At 34.8% G+C, this 21,329-nt stretch overlaps 1 long non-coding RNA gene across 1 annotated transcript in view; it reads right to left on the reverse strand.

Annotated features, from left to right (window-relative positions):
* Window positions 1-21,329, reverse strand: part of LOC101929485 (uncharacterized) — a 254,397-nt gene that overhangs the window by 167,622 nt on the left and 65,446 nt on the right. Inside the window, exons 3-4 of the long non-coding RNA XR_007095992.1 lie at window positions 12,969-13,050; window positions 11,543-11,655 (exon numbers count right to left, since the gene is read on the reverse strand). This is a non-coding gene — a long non-coding RNA (uncharacterized LOC101929485). The remainder of the gene's footprint in view (window positions 1-11,542; window positions 11,656-12,968; window positions 13,051-21,329) is intronic.

Here is a 21,329-nt window from a genome sequence, read left to right on the forward strand (position 1 = left end):
ATCAGGCATAACAGGAGTTAATTATATAGACTGAACTAATAAAAGAGCCAAATAATCTTTTCATTATTATTTTGTTTAAAACATTCCTAATTCTTTTATTTTGCAGAGTCTAGAAACCCTTTTTCTTTTGATCTATTTACTGCTTTTAACAATTGGGTAAAGTATATGCCTATGAGCAAAATTTGGAGCATATTTCTTTTTTTCTACCTGCTTTCTCCAGAATTTGAAAACTATTTGTAAGTATACTTAATTTATGGCAGTCTAGTTATTTGCATAAGTTCAATAAGGATTTATTTTCTCTTGTAACAGGACACCATTGGAGACACTGGTTGTTTTTACCAGATTTTGACCAGAATGACATACTTTCAGATATAAAAAGACAGTTTTAATGAATCAAAGTTGACTTACGGAGCCAATTAAAGCACTTGGTTTTATCTAAAGGCTCTAGAAAAAGAAGTTAAAAAAAAAAAAAAGAACAACAACCAAAATGCTCCTTTGGAAAACTACTATTATATGTTGTCTATGCAGTCCCTGTACCTGTGGTAAGTAAAGAATGTCACTTTCTGACAGGTCTATGAACCCCACGTTACCTTGGGACCTTGAGAAGAGAGTCATCTACCCAATTCATAGAGGACTTACAAGCACAGATAAATCTGTGGGTGGGCTCGAGGCTTTAAAAGGTCTAATCTAAGATTGCTTATGAAAAAAGTTCCAACAAAGCCAATTTACAAAGAGCTTATATGGCAAATAATTATTCTTGCTCCACTTTATGCAAATAATCAGGTGAAATATAATAAGACTAAGACTTATTTTGCAAATAAGTTTGTCTAACTATGATTTGTCTCTATGAAAAATGGGGACCGGAGAAAAAATTATGTTTCGGAAGAAAAAATTATAGTACATCTGTTGTTAGATTCTAGCCTTGTCCATTATTTTTGCATCTTTATTACTTTCTGCAATTCAAACTGAATCCTGAATCTTTCTTGCCTACAAGTCCCCAAACTAATGCTTTCAACTTTTTCTTCCATTTTTCTGATTTAGACTCAATGAAACTGATACTACCTTTTTTCTGAGGTCCTGCAAGATGAAGCTTATTCCTTGTAACACAAGCAAGAAAAAATGTGTCTATTGCTACTGCCCTCCTCCTCTGTAACTAGAGATGCTTTGCCTCTAACATGTGGATAGATTGCACCCAAAATTAAGCTTTGGTTTTCTTCTGTTTCCATAGAAATGCCCCTTATTAAAAATTTGCCTTCATCACATATAGAGGCCCAGCCCATCTGCAATGCCACTACCTAGAATGAGACATGGCTGTTTGAACTGATTTATTCTCAGGACTAAAAACTAATTAAAAAGATACGACACAGTACATTTAAATTTACTCTTTCCTTTTTATTCCAATTTGTCTTTCTCAGAACCTGTGCCCCAAATCTCTCTCTACTAGTGACGCCATGTCTGATTGGTTCTTGGGGTTATATACCTGGATTACAAGGGCTTCAGAACAATTCTACAAGGACTTCTGAAACTAGGATTTTATTCCTTATATTAGGACTCATTATCTTGTAGTCTTCTGTTAACCACCAACCTGGCACCCATGAATACATGTAGACAGCTGCAAAGTGGTTTCACTCTTCTTACCTTGGAGACAACCCCTATCCCAACTGCAGCCTCTGTCAGCAGGAAGAAGTTAGAACAGCTGTCAGTCTTTTTCCATCTCTGTAGCTCTCACCTTAAGAATAAGGCATGATGAACCCCAAAAGAGACTACTAAAACTGCCTTTGCAATTGTTTTTCAAAAACAGTGAAAAAAATTATGACAGTAAAAGAGACCTGACCTAACCAACTCTATCATGTCTTTAACCACCAAACTGCCTTCAGTGGTTCCTGGGTGTGGTGCATACTAACTTTGGGAGAAATTCAATTTATTATTTAAATGATAATAGCTCTTCTCAAAATCTAAACTGCCTCTGTAAAATTAACAAAATGTCATCAGGTTAGGAGGATGTGAGGTGCTTGAATTCATAGTTAAATGATTACCAGCCATTATTTCAGAGGTCACAAGATTTGCAACTTCCCTCTAAATAACATCATTATTGTAAAATCTAAGATTGTCCTTTTGAGATGTCTTTTCAGGCATTTCTGATGACCAGATGGCCCCATCCAGAAGCAGACTCAGTACAGGAGCACCATTTTCCACACCCCTATGATATTGTCTCCAACCAATCAGTAGCACCCATTCCCTACCCCACTGCCTGCCTACTACCTATACTTGAGAAACCCTAGCCTGCAAATTTTCAGGGAGGCTGATTTGAGTAGTAATACAACTCTGGCCTTCCATTTAGCTAACTCCATGTGTATTAAACTCTTTATTTCAATTCCCCTGCCTTCATAAATAAGCTTCATTTGCACAGTAGGCAAGAAGAACTTGTACTATAATTAAGATCTGGATGGATTTCAAAGTGATGTTTGGTTGAAAACTATAGAGAAGTCAATTTTTTTACAGAAATTTCTTAGTTGAATAAATAAAACTAGCAATTATTTATCCAGTGGGCTTTACTAATTAAATTAAATGGAAATGGGATAGGGAAGCACCAATTTTAGATGTTGGATCTTAGATAATATTCCAGGGGAAGCTGTTACAATACACTCGCTTTCATAATTAAATTTATCCAAATTATGCTAGAATATTTAAGGAAAAGAAAAAAATGCAATGGTTAAAAAAATATTCCAAGGGATTAATTTTAATTGTACTATTAATGGTTTTCTTTAAAAGAAAAATGCTCAATAAATGGTCAGAATAGAACCTATGTGGGTCATTGTCAATCTTCAGTGATGTACACATCTGAAAGTGTAGTCAATTGACATCTCAAGTTAAAGGGCAGTTGTTCTCTTGTTATCCCTTTCCAAACCAGTAAAACAATGCCGAGACTTCACAATCCAAGTAATTCAATCAAAATATCAACTTCCAAGGTTTAGGTTAAAGTTCACATTCTCTTTGCGTTTGTTTTTTAATTGACAAATTAAAATTGTATATATTCATGGTGTACAGTTTTGAAATATGTATATATTGTGGAATGGCTAAATCAAGCTAATTAACATATGAATTACCTCAAATACTTTTCATTTATTTGTTATAAGAACACTTAAAATCTGCTCTCTTAGCAATTTTTCAGTATATAATACATTGTTGTTAATTATAGTCATCATGGGTATAATAGATCTCTTGAACAAAGCTCACATTCTCCTTAATGCCTTCACTAATACCTACAGACAGAATAATGTTCTCCACCTCTGGTGTACACAGAGAAATGTATTTGTGTTTTTTTCCATATATACACAAATTTATAAATGTATGCTTTCCTTGTAAGACTCTTTTGCTGGGTATTCTGTCAGCGTCTACAATTCACAACCCTTTCACACCTGACAATGGGCCCTGTGACCTCTATGAGCCAAATCACCCAGGCTCCCTTTATCTTTTGCTTATAGTTTGCTTTGACAGGATATAAAAGGTGGGGAGAATGGAGAGTTAGGAGTACTTCTTCTCTCCACTCCTTTCCTACTTGGTCACAGTCCTGGGAAAGATTTCATTGTTCTAACAACACATCTCTTGGGTAAATTCTATTTCATAGCTCTAGCTCTTATCCCTCTAGTTTTTGAGGTAAGTGATATCTTCCCATTATTGCTAGACCCTGGGTCTGCTGGTTAGTTCTCTTAACCCTATCCATATTCACTAAATTGTTCCTTTACCTGATATTCTCACACCATTCTCAGTATGCAATCCAATTTCTACTTCAACCCAGCAAGTATATTCCCAAAGAGAAGAATTTAGGCACTCATTAGCTGTTTTCACAGTGCTTTATACAATGCCTAGAATAGAGAAGCACTCATTAAATGTTTTTGAAATATGTCAATGAATAAATGGAAACAGTATTAGGTTAGCTATGATGCAAGAGAAAAAAATAAGTATAAACAATGGCCCTTATTCTAACTAATGAAGGTTACAGTCTAAGGGAGAAAAGAATACAGTAGTTCATACATTCAAGGCTATACTTGGTAAGTAACAAGTCACAGGCCTCCATGTTCATATTCCAGAAAAGGAACAATCCTTACTATTAGTAAAAAAAAAGCTACCTAACACTGTGTTAAATTTATGTGTATATATATTTACACATATGTGTGTGTGTGTGTATCTACACACACAGAGAGACAGAGAGATTCAGTAATCTCACAAATTTCACATAAGGTAAACAAAGATAAAAAGAACAACAAACCAACACTTCCTTGCCTCATGGGTGTGCTGGCAGCTTTGATTAGTTAATATTTATAAAGCACTTTGAAAATGAAAAGTGCTAAACATTATCTAACAGCTCGGTAAATGCAAATTTGTCAGGTCTTATGAAATTTAACAGAAATTAGAGAGTGACAAACTACACACACACACACACACACATACACACACACACACACACACACAAAAGTTCAACCAAGGCTTTGCATTTAGAGGGGCCAGATGGGGAAGAAAATACTTTTTCCCTAGGGCAGAGAATCAAGCTAATCTATACCCCACCCCTACCCCCACTCCCACCAACACACAGGCTGCAGAAACGTTTAATTTAAAGCCTGAAAGATAATGCACTTTGTAACAGCATGTAAATCAATGTTTTATTAAAGCCTGTTAATTACAATGCAGAAAAATGCAAATCGCAATAAAACACATCAGAAGCGGATTCATCCCTGCTCTGTTCTCAGTGGAGCAATTACCACACACCTTGCTTTGGCAGGTTGGGGTAGAATTTAACTGGGCTGGGGTCGGGGGTAGTTTTACCTCTTGCCTCTGGAAACTGCAGAATCTTCCAATCATTTCACTGCACCACTCAGAAGTACAAAATATCCCCCCCGGCCATTTTTTTAAGTTGTATTTTTAAAATGCTTATGCTTTCCTCTTCGTTGACTTTAATATGCTTAGTCTAAGAGGCTTGCCTGGCCGGATAACCTTTTTACACAAAAGAGAGCAACTTACATACCATAGCATTTCTCCGTAACTTGTCCATTAATTAGAAGTCTTAGATTTAATATCATTAAGCTTGTCCCTTTGTATCATTTTATTTATTCAGAATTTATGTATATAAACTAGACATTCGATTAAATAGCCAGAACCATGGCATTAATTTTTCAGCTGTTAGGTCAGGATATGAGCTCAGGTTTATTGAGGTGTTTTTATTTGTCATAGACAGGAAAAAGGCATGTAGGTGACAAATCCTCCTTAAAGAGTACTGGAATAACGATAAATAATATCTACTGAAATTGAATGCAAACATACAGAAAATAAGGGGAAAAGTAAAGGAATCGAGAGAATGCAATACCAAATGAATTCTAAGAAACACTGTATGAAAAAATATATTAAAAAAAATAGTAAACCAATTCTTCAACTGCCTTGAAAGTGGAAGTTTTTAGTAACTAAGGTAGAGAGGAAGAAGCAGAAGCTATTATTGCCATTATAATCCATAATCTTATTTTATACTGGAGTTTGTGGAACTCTTTCATTTTGAAGGAGGCCTTAAAAGGCTTCACTGCTATGCATTTTGTTAAATAAATAAGGCATAATAAATAAACTACAGATAATAATATATCGTACAAGCTCTAAAAAGTTAAATAGGCCTTTAAGGCTCAGTGATTTTTAATATGTTAAGCAATTGGGTATCCATGACAAAATAAACTGAAATTGCTGCAATTTTATATGGCTGATACTTTGAACACTTAGCAGTTAAGTGAACTTTCAGTGCATATAGTTTATGTTATTTATGAGTAATAGAATGCATATGATAATCAACTTTTCCATTTCTCAAGCAATGGGTTTTAAAGATCAAATGAGACACCGTATGTGAAAGTGACTTAAAACTGTAATGAACTCTACAAATATTAGGTTTTATTTGGTGTTTCAAATAATGTAATACCTTTGGAAAAAGAACAAAATATCTACCTATTCACATTTAAATGTCCAAGCCAGTGATAATAATCATTGTCACCATTCTTTCTTGTGATTTAATCAAACATCCTTTCCCAATCCATGTCTTCATATTAAAACAACCTGTAAGCAAAGATTCCCCCCAACGCACACATACCCGTAAGAAAATAAAGGGTACGAGGGAGAGGAGCATGTTTCTTGTCTGGCATCTCTGAGTTGTGCTTCTGTTTTATTCTTCAATTTGGAACTTTCTGAGAATAGGCAACTAACAGAGAAATTTTCTTGTATGCAACTACATATTTCTTTAAAATATGTGGTTGTGTAATAAGTGAGTAATTCCCCAAAAGTGGCTATCTCTCATGTAATTATCTTCCCCACTCCCAATAATTATAATGGTCCTCAATACTCTAATAATTTTATGAAGAATAAAATACTGGTGTCCTAAGTTACTTATCAGAATGTACTTTCCTGTATAAATAGTATTATGAATGGTAGCTACATATATATTTAAAATACTTCCATTGACTCCATGTATTAAGTGTGTGTCTATGTGTGTATATACACACATATGTAATTTCGTTAGTTTTCTGAGGTTAATATTGAACAAATTATTAATTTAATTATTTGCTTAATAAACTTTTTAAAATTTGTAATACAACTTTACAAATCAACTGTTTTTGTGTATGTCATGCCAAGTGTCAGGTTCCAGACCATGCTAAGGTCTGAGGGGAGTGGGTGGATGAGTGGAGGACAGATGAAATAACACTCAAGCGGGGCCATGGGCAGGTGAAATGTGGTTTTATTCAGCAGCTCTCTTACACTATCTGCCTTTGTCTTGGCTGTCTGCTCTGGTTGCAGCCACTCTTAGCAGCAAGCTCTGAGGCCCCTATGACTCCCACACATACAGCTGCACTCTCCGGCACACTTGCTAGTTCCTGGCTCCCTCCTGTCCATCTGCAAGAAGCAAGCTGTCTTTTATAGGGTCAGCACATTTCTTTCTCTCTCAGGGCATGTGCCGCATGTACAGTGTCAGGAGGGCAGTTATACCTTTTACAAAAAATAGTGGCTTCGAGACAAGTATGAGCTTACACAAACAAGTTATATAACAAGAGGAGTTGTGCACCTGCACTCCTAACTTGCTGAGTCATGCAGGCCTGGATGTCTGCCTCCACCTATTCTTGACCAAAGCACATCCATTTACCTTACAGTGTGTTTAGTCCATTTGTAAATTGAGAAATATTTATTCAGCAAAATTTATTATAAGGATACTTTGAGCACCATATTCTTGGTCAGACTACCATTCCAGGGGCTGTGGTAGTAGTGTAAATAAAGTATCATGCTCACTAACATCTACTTCCAACTGGAATGTCTTCACTATTTACCTGATGGCAATTCTTCCTTTGATTAGTCCCCAGATCCTGCAGAGACTACATGCCATGGTCAATAGCAACTGTGTTCCTCAAATGTATATTAACTTAACCTCTGTTTTTATAAATGAAATATAATCAGGCAATAACTAGCAGTTATATTTATTTTCTCAATGTCAACTTATATAGTCTTATTCTTTATTTTTGTTTTTATGCATTAAAATAATATTAAAAACAGTGTTTAATCAATGTTGTTTTAACAAATTGAAATAATAGCCCAAATGAAAATTTTAATTCTTCCATTCTTTAGGCTAGATTGCATTGGATATTTTTCTAAATGCAAAGAAGACCTAAGTATAAATTTTATAATTGTAGCTAAAATGTAACATAAGAGAATGAGAATGTCATGCTTACTGACTCCAAAAATATTCCAAATGTTATTTTTATTTTCTTCCTTCTCATTTCATTAACATTATTTAATAAACCTACTTCAATATTTAATATTTGATAATTGATAAATATTTCTTTACCTATAGCCTCATGCTAAAGTTAGCTATGATAACTTTTACTACAAGATATGTATACAAGTTGATAGCATTTCTCCAAATACATATGACAACTGAGTTTCAACCTAAAATATTTCTATTTTAAAAAATCAGAAATTTTACATGAGATTCTTATTTTGACCAAAATGGAATAAGTCTTCCACTGAAACAACTTCTAAAATTTAAATATATACCTATATATATTCATACATGCACATATATAATATGTATGAAACAATATGGCTTGACTCATTTGTTTGCCATCTCTCAGGGATCACTGTCCTATATTGCCATATAAACTATACGTTTTTCAAGGCATTGAACATCATCAGGCAACATAGGACAGTGATCCCTGAGAGATGGTGAACAAATGAGTCAAGCCATACTATTGGCTGAGCTTGCTGCATGTAGTTTCTAGGCTGTAGTGCAGGGAAGAAAACTGAGGCAGGACCCAGCATGCGGCCTGAGTTGAAGAGACTGAGCTAGAAGTGTGGAGTCACCAAGTTGGCTAAAGTTCAAAAGTAGATTACTGAAGATGAGGGAACTGCACAAAGAAACTCCAGCAACATGCAGAAGATCCCCTGTGAGTGCTTGGTCTTGCCTAACAAATCTTAAAAGCAAGACCAAAGCAGGTTAAACTTTTTGTAAGTAACTCAGCTGAAGTCCAGAAAAAAAGCTGAGGCATATTTATAGAAATACAAAAATATCTGTAATCCCAGCACTTTGGGAGGCCCAGGAGGGCGGATCACGAGGTCAGGAGATCGAGACCATGCTGGCTAACACGGTGAAACCCCGTCTCTACTAAAAACACAAAAAATTAGCCGGGCGTGGTGGCAGGCACCTGTAGTCCCAGCTCCTCGGGAGGCTGAGGCAGGAGAATGGCGTGAACCCGGGAGGCGGAGCTTGCAGTGAGCCGAGATGACGCTACTGCATTCCAGCCTGGGCGACAGAGCGAGAAAAGAAAGAAAAAAGAAATACAAGAATATCTAGCACCCAAGAAGGCAAAATTCATAATAATTGGCATCCAGTTAAAAATTGTCACACATGCAAAAAGCAGAAAAATGTGACCCAAAATATGGAAAAAACACCAGAATTTAAAATAACCCAAGTTTAAAATAACCCAGAATTGATAGAAATAGTAGAACTGAATTAAAGACAAAAATATTGAGAGAAGTATTCATTCTATATTTCACACATTAAAAAAGTTAAGTAGACACAAGTGAGATACAAAAAAACCCAAATCAAAATTTTAGAGATTAAAATGAAAATGTCTGAGATGAAAAATACTTTGACTAAGATAAATGGCTGATTAGACATTCCAGGAAAAAAGATTACAGAAATAAAATATGTAGGCAAGAGCAATTATCCAAAATGAAACATAGGAAGAAAAAATAATTAAAAGAAATAAACAGAACAGCAGTGGGCTGTGAGACAACTGCAACAGCCTAACACCTGCAGTTGGAGTCCACGAGGACGGGAGAGAGAGAGATCAGATACATTATTTAAAGAAAAGCTAAATGTTTTCCAAATTTGAGGAAAAGTATATGTCCACATATCTAAATAGCTAATAAACTCAAAACACAAGAAACAAGAAGAAAATTATGCCAAGGCACATCATAATCAAATTGTACAAAACAAATTATAAGAGAAAAATCATAAAAGCAGTTACAGAAAAAGAATCATGTCCAGAGGGAAAAATAAGAATAACTGTAGATTTCCATCAGAAACAATATAAACAAGAAGAAGGTGAAATAACACTTTTAAAGTACTGAAAGCAAAAATCTGTCAACCTAGAATTCTTACATTGAGTAAACATACTTTTCAAAATGAAGAACTAAGGACATTTTCATACATTAAAAATGGAAAGTATTCATCAGAAGCAGATGAACATGCTCAGAAACATTAAATAAAATTCTTTACATTGAAGGGAAATAATAAATGTATATCTGGGTCTACACAAAGGGATTAAGAGTACCAAAAATAACTGAGTAAATATTTAAAAAATGTCTTTATTATTTAAACCACTTTAAAAAGATAACTGACTATTAAAAGCAAGAATACAATATATTGTAGAGTTTACAATGTGTAAAAGTAAAATATATGACAATAAAGCCTAGGAGGGGAGACATACAAGTATACTGTTGTAAGGTTCTCATTCTATATGCGAAGTGGTATAATATCATGTGAAGTAGACTATGACAATTTAAAGGTGTGTGATACAAACCCAAACCAACCACTAACACAGCAAAACAGAAAGTTATAGCTAATAGCTTACAAAGAAAGGAATTACTAAAAATACTGAATAATTAAAAAGAAGGAGAAAAAGAGAATAATGGGAAGAAAACATAGTAGAGTAAATTTAAAAAAAAACAAAAAACAAGATGATAAATGTAAACGCAATCGTATCAATAATTTCTCTAAATATAAATGGCCTAAATACCTCAAATAAATGCGCCACTTAATATACCCAGGTTCTCAAATTTTCATTTGTTCAAAACAAACCTATAAAGAGACTGCTGCTATCATGACATTTTACAGATGTTCAGTGAAATTGTATCATTTCCTTTGTTTTTGTTTGAGGTAACTAGCAACCCTAGACCCTAAGAATCAGAATAACTGCCTCCTATAGGGGAAATGCTTTAGATGTCTAAGACTATTACAGTCAGCTTCTACGATCATGTCATAAATATTATCACAGGAAAAGTGTATATTTATTCACACTGATAAGTGTACACCCTATGGAAACCATATCTTATTGGTTTATATATTTGTGATAATTTTAAAATTATGCTGCCAAATCTCTAATTCTAAATTTATTGTCTACACAGTCCATTTGTTTTCTGGAATCAAGTTTTCCCCACTGAATGCAGTTCCTCAAATAAACGTGGCCTTACTGATTAGTATAATCACAGACAGTATACTCAGAGAAATTTCCCACTTAATGTGAGAATAATTAATCAGTGTCTACATTATCCTTACCACATCTTGCTCATGCATAAGTGCGTTCATTCATGTTCTTTGGCTTACAAATTGAAGATTAGCTGGCAAATGGAATTGAGTTAAAAATGTGACTTAGGCAGGTAACAAATAAGCAGATGTTGAATTGGGGATGTAAAGTGTGAAGTCAAAGGCATCAGGCAAGGTGTAAACAAAAGTTGTGATCTTAGTACCAACTCTGCAAAACATTATCCTTTAGAGTAGAAAATTGATGTTACATTGAGACCTGGTATGTGGTAAGCACTGTCTATTCATAGCCTCTTTTAATCCTCACAGAGTAAGATACTTCTGAAATTTTAATTGGTGAGGTTTCTATTCACAGTATTCCTTTCTATCTTCTGGCCACCTCCTCATTGAGCCAGTCATTTGAATGTTCGCTACTCATAGAAAGGATGACACACAAGATCACAGAAACAAAGGATGATTCTTGACTTTTGGATTTCAAACATAGGGCTCAAGGACGTGTGAAAACTTATGCAATATAACTATATTAGGTAAAAATGATGAAGGAGATAATCTGCCCATTGAGGGACTCTAAAGGAGGTGAGGAGATGAGAAAAGATGCAAGGGATATAAAGAGAAAAATGGAGATTGGTCTGGATTAGGACGAGACCAGACTTATAGGAAGCTTGTGGAAAGGAGAAAAGTCACCATCCAGGGATCACTTACCTTCACTTTAAGGCACACCATTCAGTGCCAGTACCAAGAAGCTCCATAAGAGCAGAATCAGTGTTCACAAACTGTCTAGGCTCCATCTGAATAAGCACACTCACCAACAGGACCTAAGAAATACAAAAATTTTCATTTCTAGTGGCTTTCACTGAGGACTTCACTTTGATGGTAGTCAATGTCATACCAGCTGGCTATTCAGAGAGTTGTTTTCCTATACTTTGCCTGATAGATCCCTGCCTAATTTCACTGCCACTTTTCACCATCAAAGTAGACCTTTACGTCTTTGGTTTCTGGACTTGAGGAAGGCTCCTACATTTGTACTTGAGTGAGACTTAATGAGTCAGTTTGAGATTTCTCCTAAACCAAGTTAGAGGTAAAACACAACACTATTATAGTCAAAACAGCCAACTGGGTAACTGTTGTAATTCTTACAACACATAGAATAAAACTAGGATTCAGAAGAGTTAATTTGTTCTAGTTCAGTTCCATGCCGTCTTTTTTACTATACCTATTAGTTTTGATTTTAATGACAGAAAATATCAAATAATTAATCTTTTATGGGAAGAAATTTGCTCAATTGCCAGGTTTTTTTGTTTGTTTGTTTTTGTTTTTGAGACTGAGTATCGCTCTGTCACCCAGGCTGGAGTGCAGTGGCAAGATCTCGGCTCACTGCAAGCTCTGCCTCCCAGGTTCACGCCATTCTCCTGCCTCAGCCTCCCAAGTAGCTGGGACTACAGGCGCTCGCCACTACACCTGGCTAATTTTTTGCATTTTTAGTAGAGATGGAGTTTCACCGTGTTAGCCAGGATGGTCTCGATCTCCTAACCTCGTGATCAGCCTGCCTCGGCCTCCCAAAGTGCTGGGATTAAAGGCGTGAGCCACCACGCCCGGCAGCCAGGTTTTAAATATCTCCTAAGCTTCTGAATTATAAAATAAACAAACTAAACTTCTAAGTAATTCATGGAAGAAAGAATAAGCAAAATTGTTTATAAAAATATTTAGGATAATATGAGGAATTAGTAGAGAGACCCTGCACGTTCTGTATCATAAAATAATAAAATAAACATTATGCCAAAGTCTTTGAAATTCCAATTAATAAGAAAATTTTATAGAGCAAAATAATTTTCAAATTCCATTCAATAGTTGATTAGACCAACGATTGAAAATTTTGTCCTATAAAGAGCCAGATACTAAACACTTTACTCTTACAGGCCATAGTCTCTGCCCCAACTACTCAACTTTGCTACTGTAGTATGGAAACAGCCATAGACAATATTTAAAAAATGAGTGTGGCTTTTTCCCACTAAACTTTATAGCAAAACCTTGTAGAGGGCTAGATTTGGTTTTTAGGCTTTTAGGCCCTAATTTGACAATCTCTTGATTAGAAAATAGCTGTTATAAATATACTCAAAAATATACATACATAATAAACTGTATTTCCAGGTCATTTTAAAAGTGAGTTTGCCAAATCCTGAAAGAACGGATGACCTCAGATGCAACTATTCCTAAGTAAAGAAAAAACCTGTAAGATTCAAAATTCTTTTATGTTAGCACAAGCTTTACATCAAAGCTAGATAAAGTACTATGGGATTGGGTGATTCTAGACCAATTTCACTTAGGAATAAAATGTCATAAGTAATTAGTAAACCAAATCCAGCCATATATTTCAAAAAGAACATAGCACAACCAAATTGAGTTTACAGAGATTAAAATAGGGAAATCATATGAACATATTAAAAATGCAAAAAAGAATCAAATATAAAATTTGGATGTGATAAAAACTCTTAGCAAAGTAGGAATAGAATGTAAATACCTTATGCGGTAAAAAATACAGACCAAGACCCCACAAAAGTTCTATAGTCAAAGATCAAACTATAAAAGTATTCCCATGAAAATAAGAGACGAGAGAAACATAATGAGTACTACTTCAACATTTTACTAGAAGGGCTGGGTAACACAATGAGACAAGATGAGTTAGATAAAGATCAGAAGGAAAGAACCCAAATTATCATTATATCTCAAATATGTGTGTCTTCAAAAAGAATTCAAGAGAATTTATAGACAAATATGGAAAATGAAAAGAGAGTTCAGCAGGTTTGCATGATATAAACCCAATCTTCAAAACTGAATAGCACTTTTTAATATCAGAAACAACTAACTTGAAAACATTATACTTTTCAAAAAGCATTCCATTCATAATGACCACTAAATACTATGAGGATTCTTGGAATAAATACAAAAGTTAGTAAAGGAAAAATCTGAGACAATATTATAAAACTTCACTGAAGAATAAAAATAAAAATGGCATAAATAAGTAGAGAATAATTCAGTGCTTATGATAAAATAAGACAATATTTTAAAATCGTTGCCCTATTCACATACATACAGGCCAAATTAATCTGAATGTATGCTTTAATGGTATTAGGTATTCATGTAATACATTCGTTAGTAAATTTGCAATTGTTTTTTTAAATCATCCAAAACAGTATTATTGGTTTCAGTAAAATCCCTTGTACCATGCAATCAGTACCAGGGCATAACTCTTCTAATATCGGTCAGATTTTTCAAATGTTTAATACATTCATAAAACATAAAGCACACATTGACATAAGCATTTATTATTGTTTCAATTATAAAACAAAATGTTTATTGTAAAATACACAAAAAACATTTTGAAAATACATAAAAGTGCAAGCAAGAGGAAAAAAAGTCACCCATTATTTTGCCATCCCTATAAGCAGTGCATGTAGTTTTAGTTTATATTTTTTGTTATTTTTATAGATACATTTATTTTATTGATTTTTATATTTCTTAGATAAATGTTTTCAGATGCTATCCTACATTAAAATGGATAATCCAGAAGTGTTAAAGCATGTACTTCTGTAACTAAGCATAAGTCTACTGAGCAGCCATCTGCTTATAAAGTGTGACTTAATGAATCCGCAGGGCAAAGTCAGTAGTGAGGTGCACTCTGGGGATACCTGCACAGCAAAGTCACAATATACAGGCATTTAAAAAATATTTTGTTCTAATTTCATTCTTATTAGTAGCTCTCTGCTTGCAAATATTTTTACTCAAAAACAGTTTGAAGTAAACATGTATTGCTTTGACACACAGCTAATTTTAAATTCATTATTTTTTGTTTTTGCCAGTTACAAATCATTTTCTGTTGTCATATTATTTCAACAGAGAAGGGCAAATCCTATTTCTTTTTTCTTGAAAACAAGTGACTAAGCCTCCATTCAATGACACACCCATGAGAAATGTTTTGCAATAAATAACAGCTCAAGGGAACTAAAATCCCCAAGTAGAAGTCAGAAACAGCACTGTTGTCTTGTGCTAAATAACATATTTGGCATGTTGTGAAAACACCAGAACTATGCATACTATATGATCGTGGTTCTCAGTTTTATTTCACTTGATCAATTTATTGTGTGTTCTGAGGCATCAAAAGTAATTTATGTTTCTGTACTTGATAAATTGTGGTAAAAACCACTGGTGCTCATCAAGTATCTACATACTCCTTATGTTTTCCTAGCCACAAAGCTTCTAGGTGGGGTCACACAATAAACTTTTGCAATGGAACATCAAAAGAAGGAATGTAGGATGTGTCACTTGTTACCGAAGCGGTTAAGAATGAGCATTTTCTATCCTCCCTCTTTCTTCACAATTAGAAACCAAGTACACATAGGTCACAAAGTTCTAAAAGGAAACAGCCTAAGTTCTTAATTCTTGAAAGATAATTGTGCTGCAGAACCTCCTGTTCTTCGTGAAGAAATAAATAATATTTTTGATGAGCCAATAAAAGATAGGTATTTCTTTCTTACTACAGTGTAGTCTAGTTGGATCGTTTGGCATTGTTGTATTGTTTTGTAGTAGTTCAAGTGTGTGTGTATAGGAGAATGCATATGGAAACTGAGTAACCAGAGGAAAAGATTGTGCCCATTACCAATTTATCTCCTCTCAGCTCCAAATTTACTCCCTGGTGCTGGCTCTGACATAATGACTTAGACTCTAAACGTTTCTTCTTAACAGCGAGAATTATGTTATTTTTCATCAATAGAGGGCGGAGAGAGATATTACGTGAGAAAGGGACCGCTCTTCCTGTTTCTGGAGTGCTCCACTAGTGAAGAGAGAGAGAGAGAGACAGAGAGACAGAGAGAGAGAGAATGTGTGTGTTCACATCCAGGGTCATCCTACCCCAGCTGCACACCCAGAATGTACTGTCCCTCAGCAACTTTGCAGCAGCCCAGGTTGGGGCCTGGTGACTATCACCAGCTCCATTCCAGTATCTCTCTGAGCACTCCCAGCACAACACAACTTCAGGAAGACTGTGTTGGAAGAGTTGTTTCCTGCAGGCTTCCCAACCTTACACACCAGCAGGCCTCATGCCATTGCCAGCTACTGGGCTCCTAACACTTGATTCCTTTATGCCTGCCTGCCACCCAGTCTCCATTCGACTGCACCTAAGGCTGTTTCCTGCTTTCATTACAACTTTGAACCAGCACTGGCCTATAGGTTAACTTGGCTTACCTACTCTGACTGGTAGGTGAACTTTCCTACAAGTCAGTAGATTAAAACTGTACCTTTTCCATTGAGGTCTGAATCCCAGTTGCTGGAGGTGGTGGTGGTAGGGCAGTTCTAAGTTGTCCTTTCTTATGTAGTCTCATCCAGCTGTACAAAGCCCTTCAGATTTCTCTTTACATCTTTAATGTTACTCCCCTATTATAGTTCAATAATTGCTATATTAAACCTTCCCTCATCAAATTATTATGCAGTTTTTATCTGTCTTGTGATTGGCCCTAGACTAAAACACTAGCCTAACCTAACTAATGAGCAAGTTATAGTAGGGAGATTTCAAATCAGAAGAATAAACCCTAGGAATAATTTAGATTACATGCTATAGAATACATTGTAGATTATTACACTTAAGCTCAAACAATTCTCTTAAATTCCAAATTGAAAATAATTTTGTATTAAAAGAAAATACACATGGGAGTCAAAAATGGGCTACAGATTGAATTTGTGTCAAGGTAAGGGCGTTATAGCTATCCCCTTGTGAGCTATTTGGGGACGGTCTCAACATGAGACATTTTTGTACCAAATAATAAAATATAAATTCAATTAATTTTGAGAGTTAAAATTATGAATCTCTCTCTATATATATAATTATAATTAAATTTTAGAACTACCACAGACAATAGTTTTATTATTATTATTTTCTTGATAAAACAACCTCAGTAAAGTTAATTTTAAGCCTGAGGTCACACAGCTTTACTCCATTACACAGTCAAGAAAATGGAGAGATAGCTATGTTAAATAATTTTCCCATGTTACTACCAATAAGTGTCAGAGAGAGAGAGAGAAACTCCTACTCCAGAGCCTTAATTCTTAACCTTTAAGTTACATCACATCCTGTAGTGGTCCCAAAGGAATTGTTAATCAGTCTGGCTCAGTGGCTTATGCCTGTAATCCCAGCACTTTGGGAGGCCAAGGTAGGCGGATCACCTAAGGTGGAGCTCGAGACCAGCCTGACCAACATGGAGAAACCCCATCTCTACCAAAAATACAAAATTAGCCGGGTGTGGTGGCACATGTCTGTAATCCCAGCTACTTGGGAGGTTGAGGCAAGAGAATCGCATGAACCCAGGATGTGGAGGTTGCGGTGAGCCAAGATCGCGCCATTGCACTCCAGCCTGGGCAACAGAGCAAGACTCCGTCTCAAAACAAAACAAAACAAAAGAAAAGCCAAAAAAAAAAACCAGAAGGCAGGGGAAGGTCTTTAAATGAATGATATCTTTGATGATTAATTTTATATATCAACTTGAGTATGCCATGGGGTGATGAAATATTTGGTCAAACAGTATTCTGGGTGTTTTTGTGAGGGTGTTTTTGGATAAAATTAACATTTAAATCAATTAACATTAAATTTAAATTAACATTTAAATCAATACACATTATGGAGAGAAAAGCTCTCCATAATGTGGATGGGCCATATTCAATCAGTGAAGGTCTGAATAAAACAAAATGGCTGACTCTCCTTTGAGTTAGAGAGAAAGTTCTCCTGTCTGACATCCTTCAAATTGAATAATTGGCTCTTGTCTTTACAGCAGTTTCTGGCTATTGGACTTTAACTAGGGCAATAGCTCTGTATATTTTGTGCACACATGCTCTCTCTCTCTCTCTCTTTCTCTTTATATATAAATAAGCATATATTTTAAAAGTTTATATATATAAGCTTTTTAATATATGTTCTGTTTCTCTAGAGAACCCTGCCTTATAATATAGTACCCAAGGTAGTTATATTTTAATGAAGCACAATATCCAATAAATATTTAAGAAGTAATCATCCCTCCAAAAATAGTAAATAGAAGAAAGCAAGCAAAAAAACAAACAAACAAAAAAAAACAAAAAAAAGGAAGGCAGGAAGGAAGGGAGGGAGGGAAGGGGGAAGGAGGGAAAGAAGGAGAGAGAGACTGATTTTAAAAAAATAAAAAATAAACAGGATATACATGAGAAGTGTTAACTCAGGTAAAGGGTCAGCAGGAATGATTGTGAGGAACAAGTGCATGGCAAAAGGAGATGAAAATATAACACTTTCTGTATGCATTATTTTCTGGAGTTTGTCCATAGAAGGTTAAAACTGCAAACCCTCTTTCTTACTAAAACTGAGAGATAAACTGCAGTAGAATAGGAAATGCAACCAATGTATTTTTCTCTGTGCCTTTACACAGTCTTAAATACACATGTTAAGTCTAGAGTCACAAGCATTACTCAAGACCAATTTTCAGCATCAAATTTGGTGTATCTACGCCAGAAAATATACCAGGCATTTATTCAATAGCTTTGCAAACCCCTTTCCCCAGTGAATCTACCCCTATGAATATCAACGCAGCATTAATCTCATATCAAAGAGAGAGTTTTCTTGTTTATATAGGAAATGACAATATGCTGATATCAAAGATAAATGATTCATAGACAAACTAGGCTCAGAGATGCAGCTAAGTGAATAAAGAAGAACACTTCCATTTGCTCTATTTTAATTTTACTCTCAGGCAATCCCTAGCTATGCTGCGCCGTCATTTAGAAATTTTCCAATTCCAAGTAAGAAAGGAAAGCGTTTTAATTTAAAAATAATTATAATGTAGAATGAATATTGAATATTAATCTCTAGTGTCTTTGTTATGATGTATTCGTCTATATAATTAAGAAAGTGTAAATATTATAAAATTCAGTTTACAAAAATATTTGAGATTTTCCATTTTCCACTAAACTGATGAGAGCTTTTTTTTTTTTGGAGCCACTAATTTTTGGGATGGTGTATATGCAACAAAAGTGAACTGATCTATTTATCCCATTCTTTCATTATGCTACCTCATAAAATACTAGAATATGTTTAGAATATTAGGATAATGATATTCATTCACATTAAAACCCAAGTTTTGATTTAGTTGACTAAGAAGATTTAGAAATCAAAAACATGCTAATGTTTTGGAACAAATGCAGTCAACTCTATACATAAATATACCCAGATGGTTTCATAAATATCTATGCTGTTTGCTTGTTTTTTTATGAACTAGCCTAAGAGGATATTCTGTTTTTAACAGTAATACTAAAATGTATTGTAGCCCCTGTTAGAAACTATGCTGAACACTTTATAAGCCTTGCCTCAATTTTAACTTACAGTAACCCAGAACATGTAATTAGTATCATCATCTCTCTTTTTTTTAACCAATAAAAGAACTGAGTCTTGAAGGATTTATTTTTCCCAAAGTTTATCTAAGAAGCAGAAATGAAATTAAATAGTTTCTGACTCTAGATCCTGAGTGTTTAATCATAAAATATGCTGCCTATAATTTTCCAGAAACGTAACGAAGCAGTGGCATTGTATATGATTCCAAAGTGGTTTTCTTCCATTCAAATTCAACTGGAGATAATAAATGTGAAAAAGACATGTAAACTTAATGCACCTAATTTGAACTTCAACAAATTTACTAATTCTCAGTCAACTCAGTTAACCCACCATATAAATTTATTTTTGTGATGTTACCATAATAAAAGTAAATTTAAACAATAAAATGTAGATATACATAAAAATAAATATTACTCATTATGCAATTAACTAGCTTTCACAAAGGTAATGGGTGTACAATGGTATTATATGAAAGTGGAAAATACAGATTCATGCTATGTAAGAGTAAAAACAAGTAGTCAAGACACTGAATGGAAGTTATGCTTACAAATTGGAAATTATCATATATTATTGCATAACCTATATCTACAGGTCTAACATTTAAAATATTCTGAAAACTGAAAATAATTTGGTAAATTGGGTACCTTCTGGGCAAGAAAATCTGGATTGCAGTGATGTGAAGTGATTTCTAGTCTTGATCTATGCCACTTAGTGTGATTATATACTTTATTGAAGAAATATTTTTGATTACATGGCTCTGCCCCAAGCCCTGCTGGGATTGTTAGGTAACATAGAATATGTTTACTGTATACATTTTCTAAAGTTCAAAAAATCTTAACTCTAAAACAACATAAATACAAAAATGTTGGAAAAGTGATTGTGGTCCCAAAGTAAGATTTGAGCCTGAAATTAAGGCAATATATCTTTGTTCTTCATGCTTATAATAGACTAAATCAGTCATTTTCATTTTAGTATGAATAAGCGATCAAATAAAAAACAGGAAGCATGTTTTCATAAAGAGAAGAGAAAGGACAAAAAGAAGCTGAAACCATTTTCCTTAATTCCACCATAGTTGCTTTTAAAATATAAATATGTCCACACGGAAAAATGAAATATGGCTTCAGAAGAGAATATTAAACTTATAAATCCTGGTAACATAAGAGAAAATATGGACTTTCTTTTTTGGGGCTGGGGGTGGACTGGCATCTAAGAAGCTTGAAAGTCACCACTTTTTCTTAACAAGTAAAAAGATTAAAAAAATGAAAAATCAAGAACTCTTCTTAGATCTATATGAGAAGGGAGGTCACAGGGCAAATTGCTGTACCCAAAATTGGAGAGATCAACAGGCAATCACAGAGATCACGAATTACTGCAACAGAAATCAGTGAGCAGGAACAAGTGTCAGGATAGTGAAACCTAAACTGTAATTGACAAGTTGCTGGAGGCTTGATGGGGCCGACTCTGAGGGTTAAAATCTCCGGGGGAACACAGTCATAGGGAGAGCCCCACACTTTTGTGAATGTTGCCTCCTGGTGTTCTACCAGGTCCTCACAGTGAATACTAGAGAAAAATCCCCTTGTGTTGCTGGCAGGTGGAGAAGCAAGGGAACTATTTTGAAATAAATCAGACCATTCGGTTCCCTTAACAAAGTCCACCCTCAGGAAAAACTATTTTACTGGAGTTTAACCTGCTGTAACTTTATCAGAGCCAAACTGACCTGGGAGGAAGAGAAATAGTCAGCTGCAGCCCACTTTAGCCATCCTGTCCCAAGGGGTGGGGAGAAGTAGACTGGGAAGCATGTATAAAGTTTAGTCCAGAGGCACAAGCTCACTAAAAGATAGATAGTTAATCATAGGACTGTAGAACACTTCCTCTTCCCGTACCTTACCTCTACATTATTAAAAGATTGTTTATAGCAGCCTCTTTGGCACAGTACATATGGCTGGCTTTTAAGAAAACATTACAAGATATACTAAAAGGCCAAAACACAGTTTGAAGAGACACAGCAATCATCACAATGAGACTCAGATATGCCAGGAATGTTGGAATTACCGGACTAGAAATTTAAAACAAATATGATTAATATGCAAA

The sequence above is a fragment of the Homo sapiens genome, chromosome 3, assembly GCF_000001405.40.
Source record: "Homo sapiens chromosome 3, GRCh38.p14 Primary Assembly".
Taxonomy (NCBI): Eukaryota; Metazoa; Chordata; class Mammalia; order Primates; family Hominidae; genus Homo; species Homo sapiens.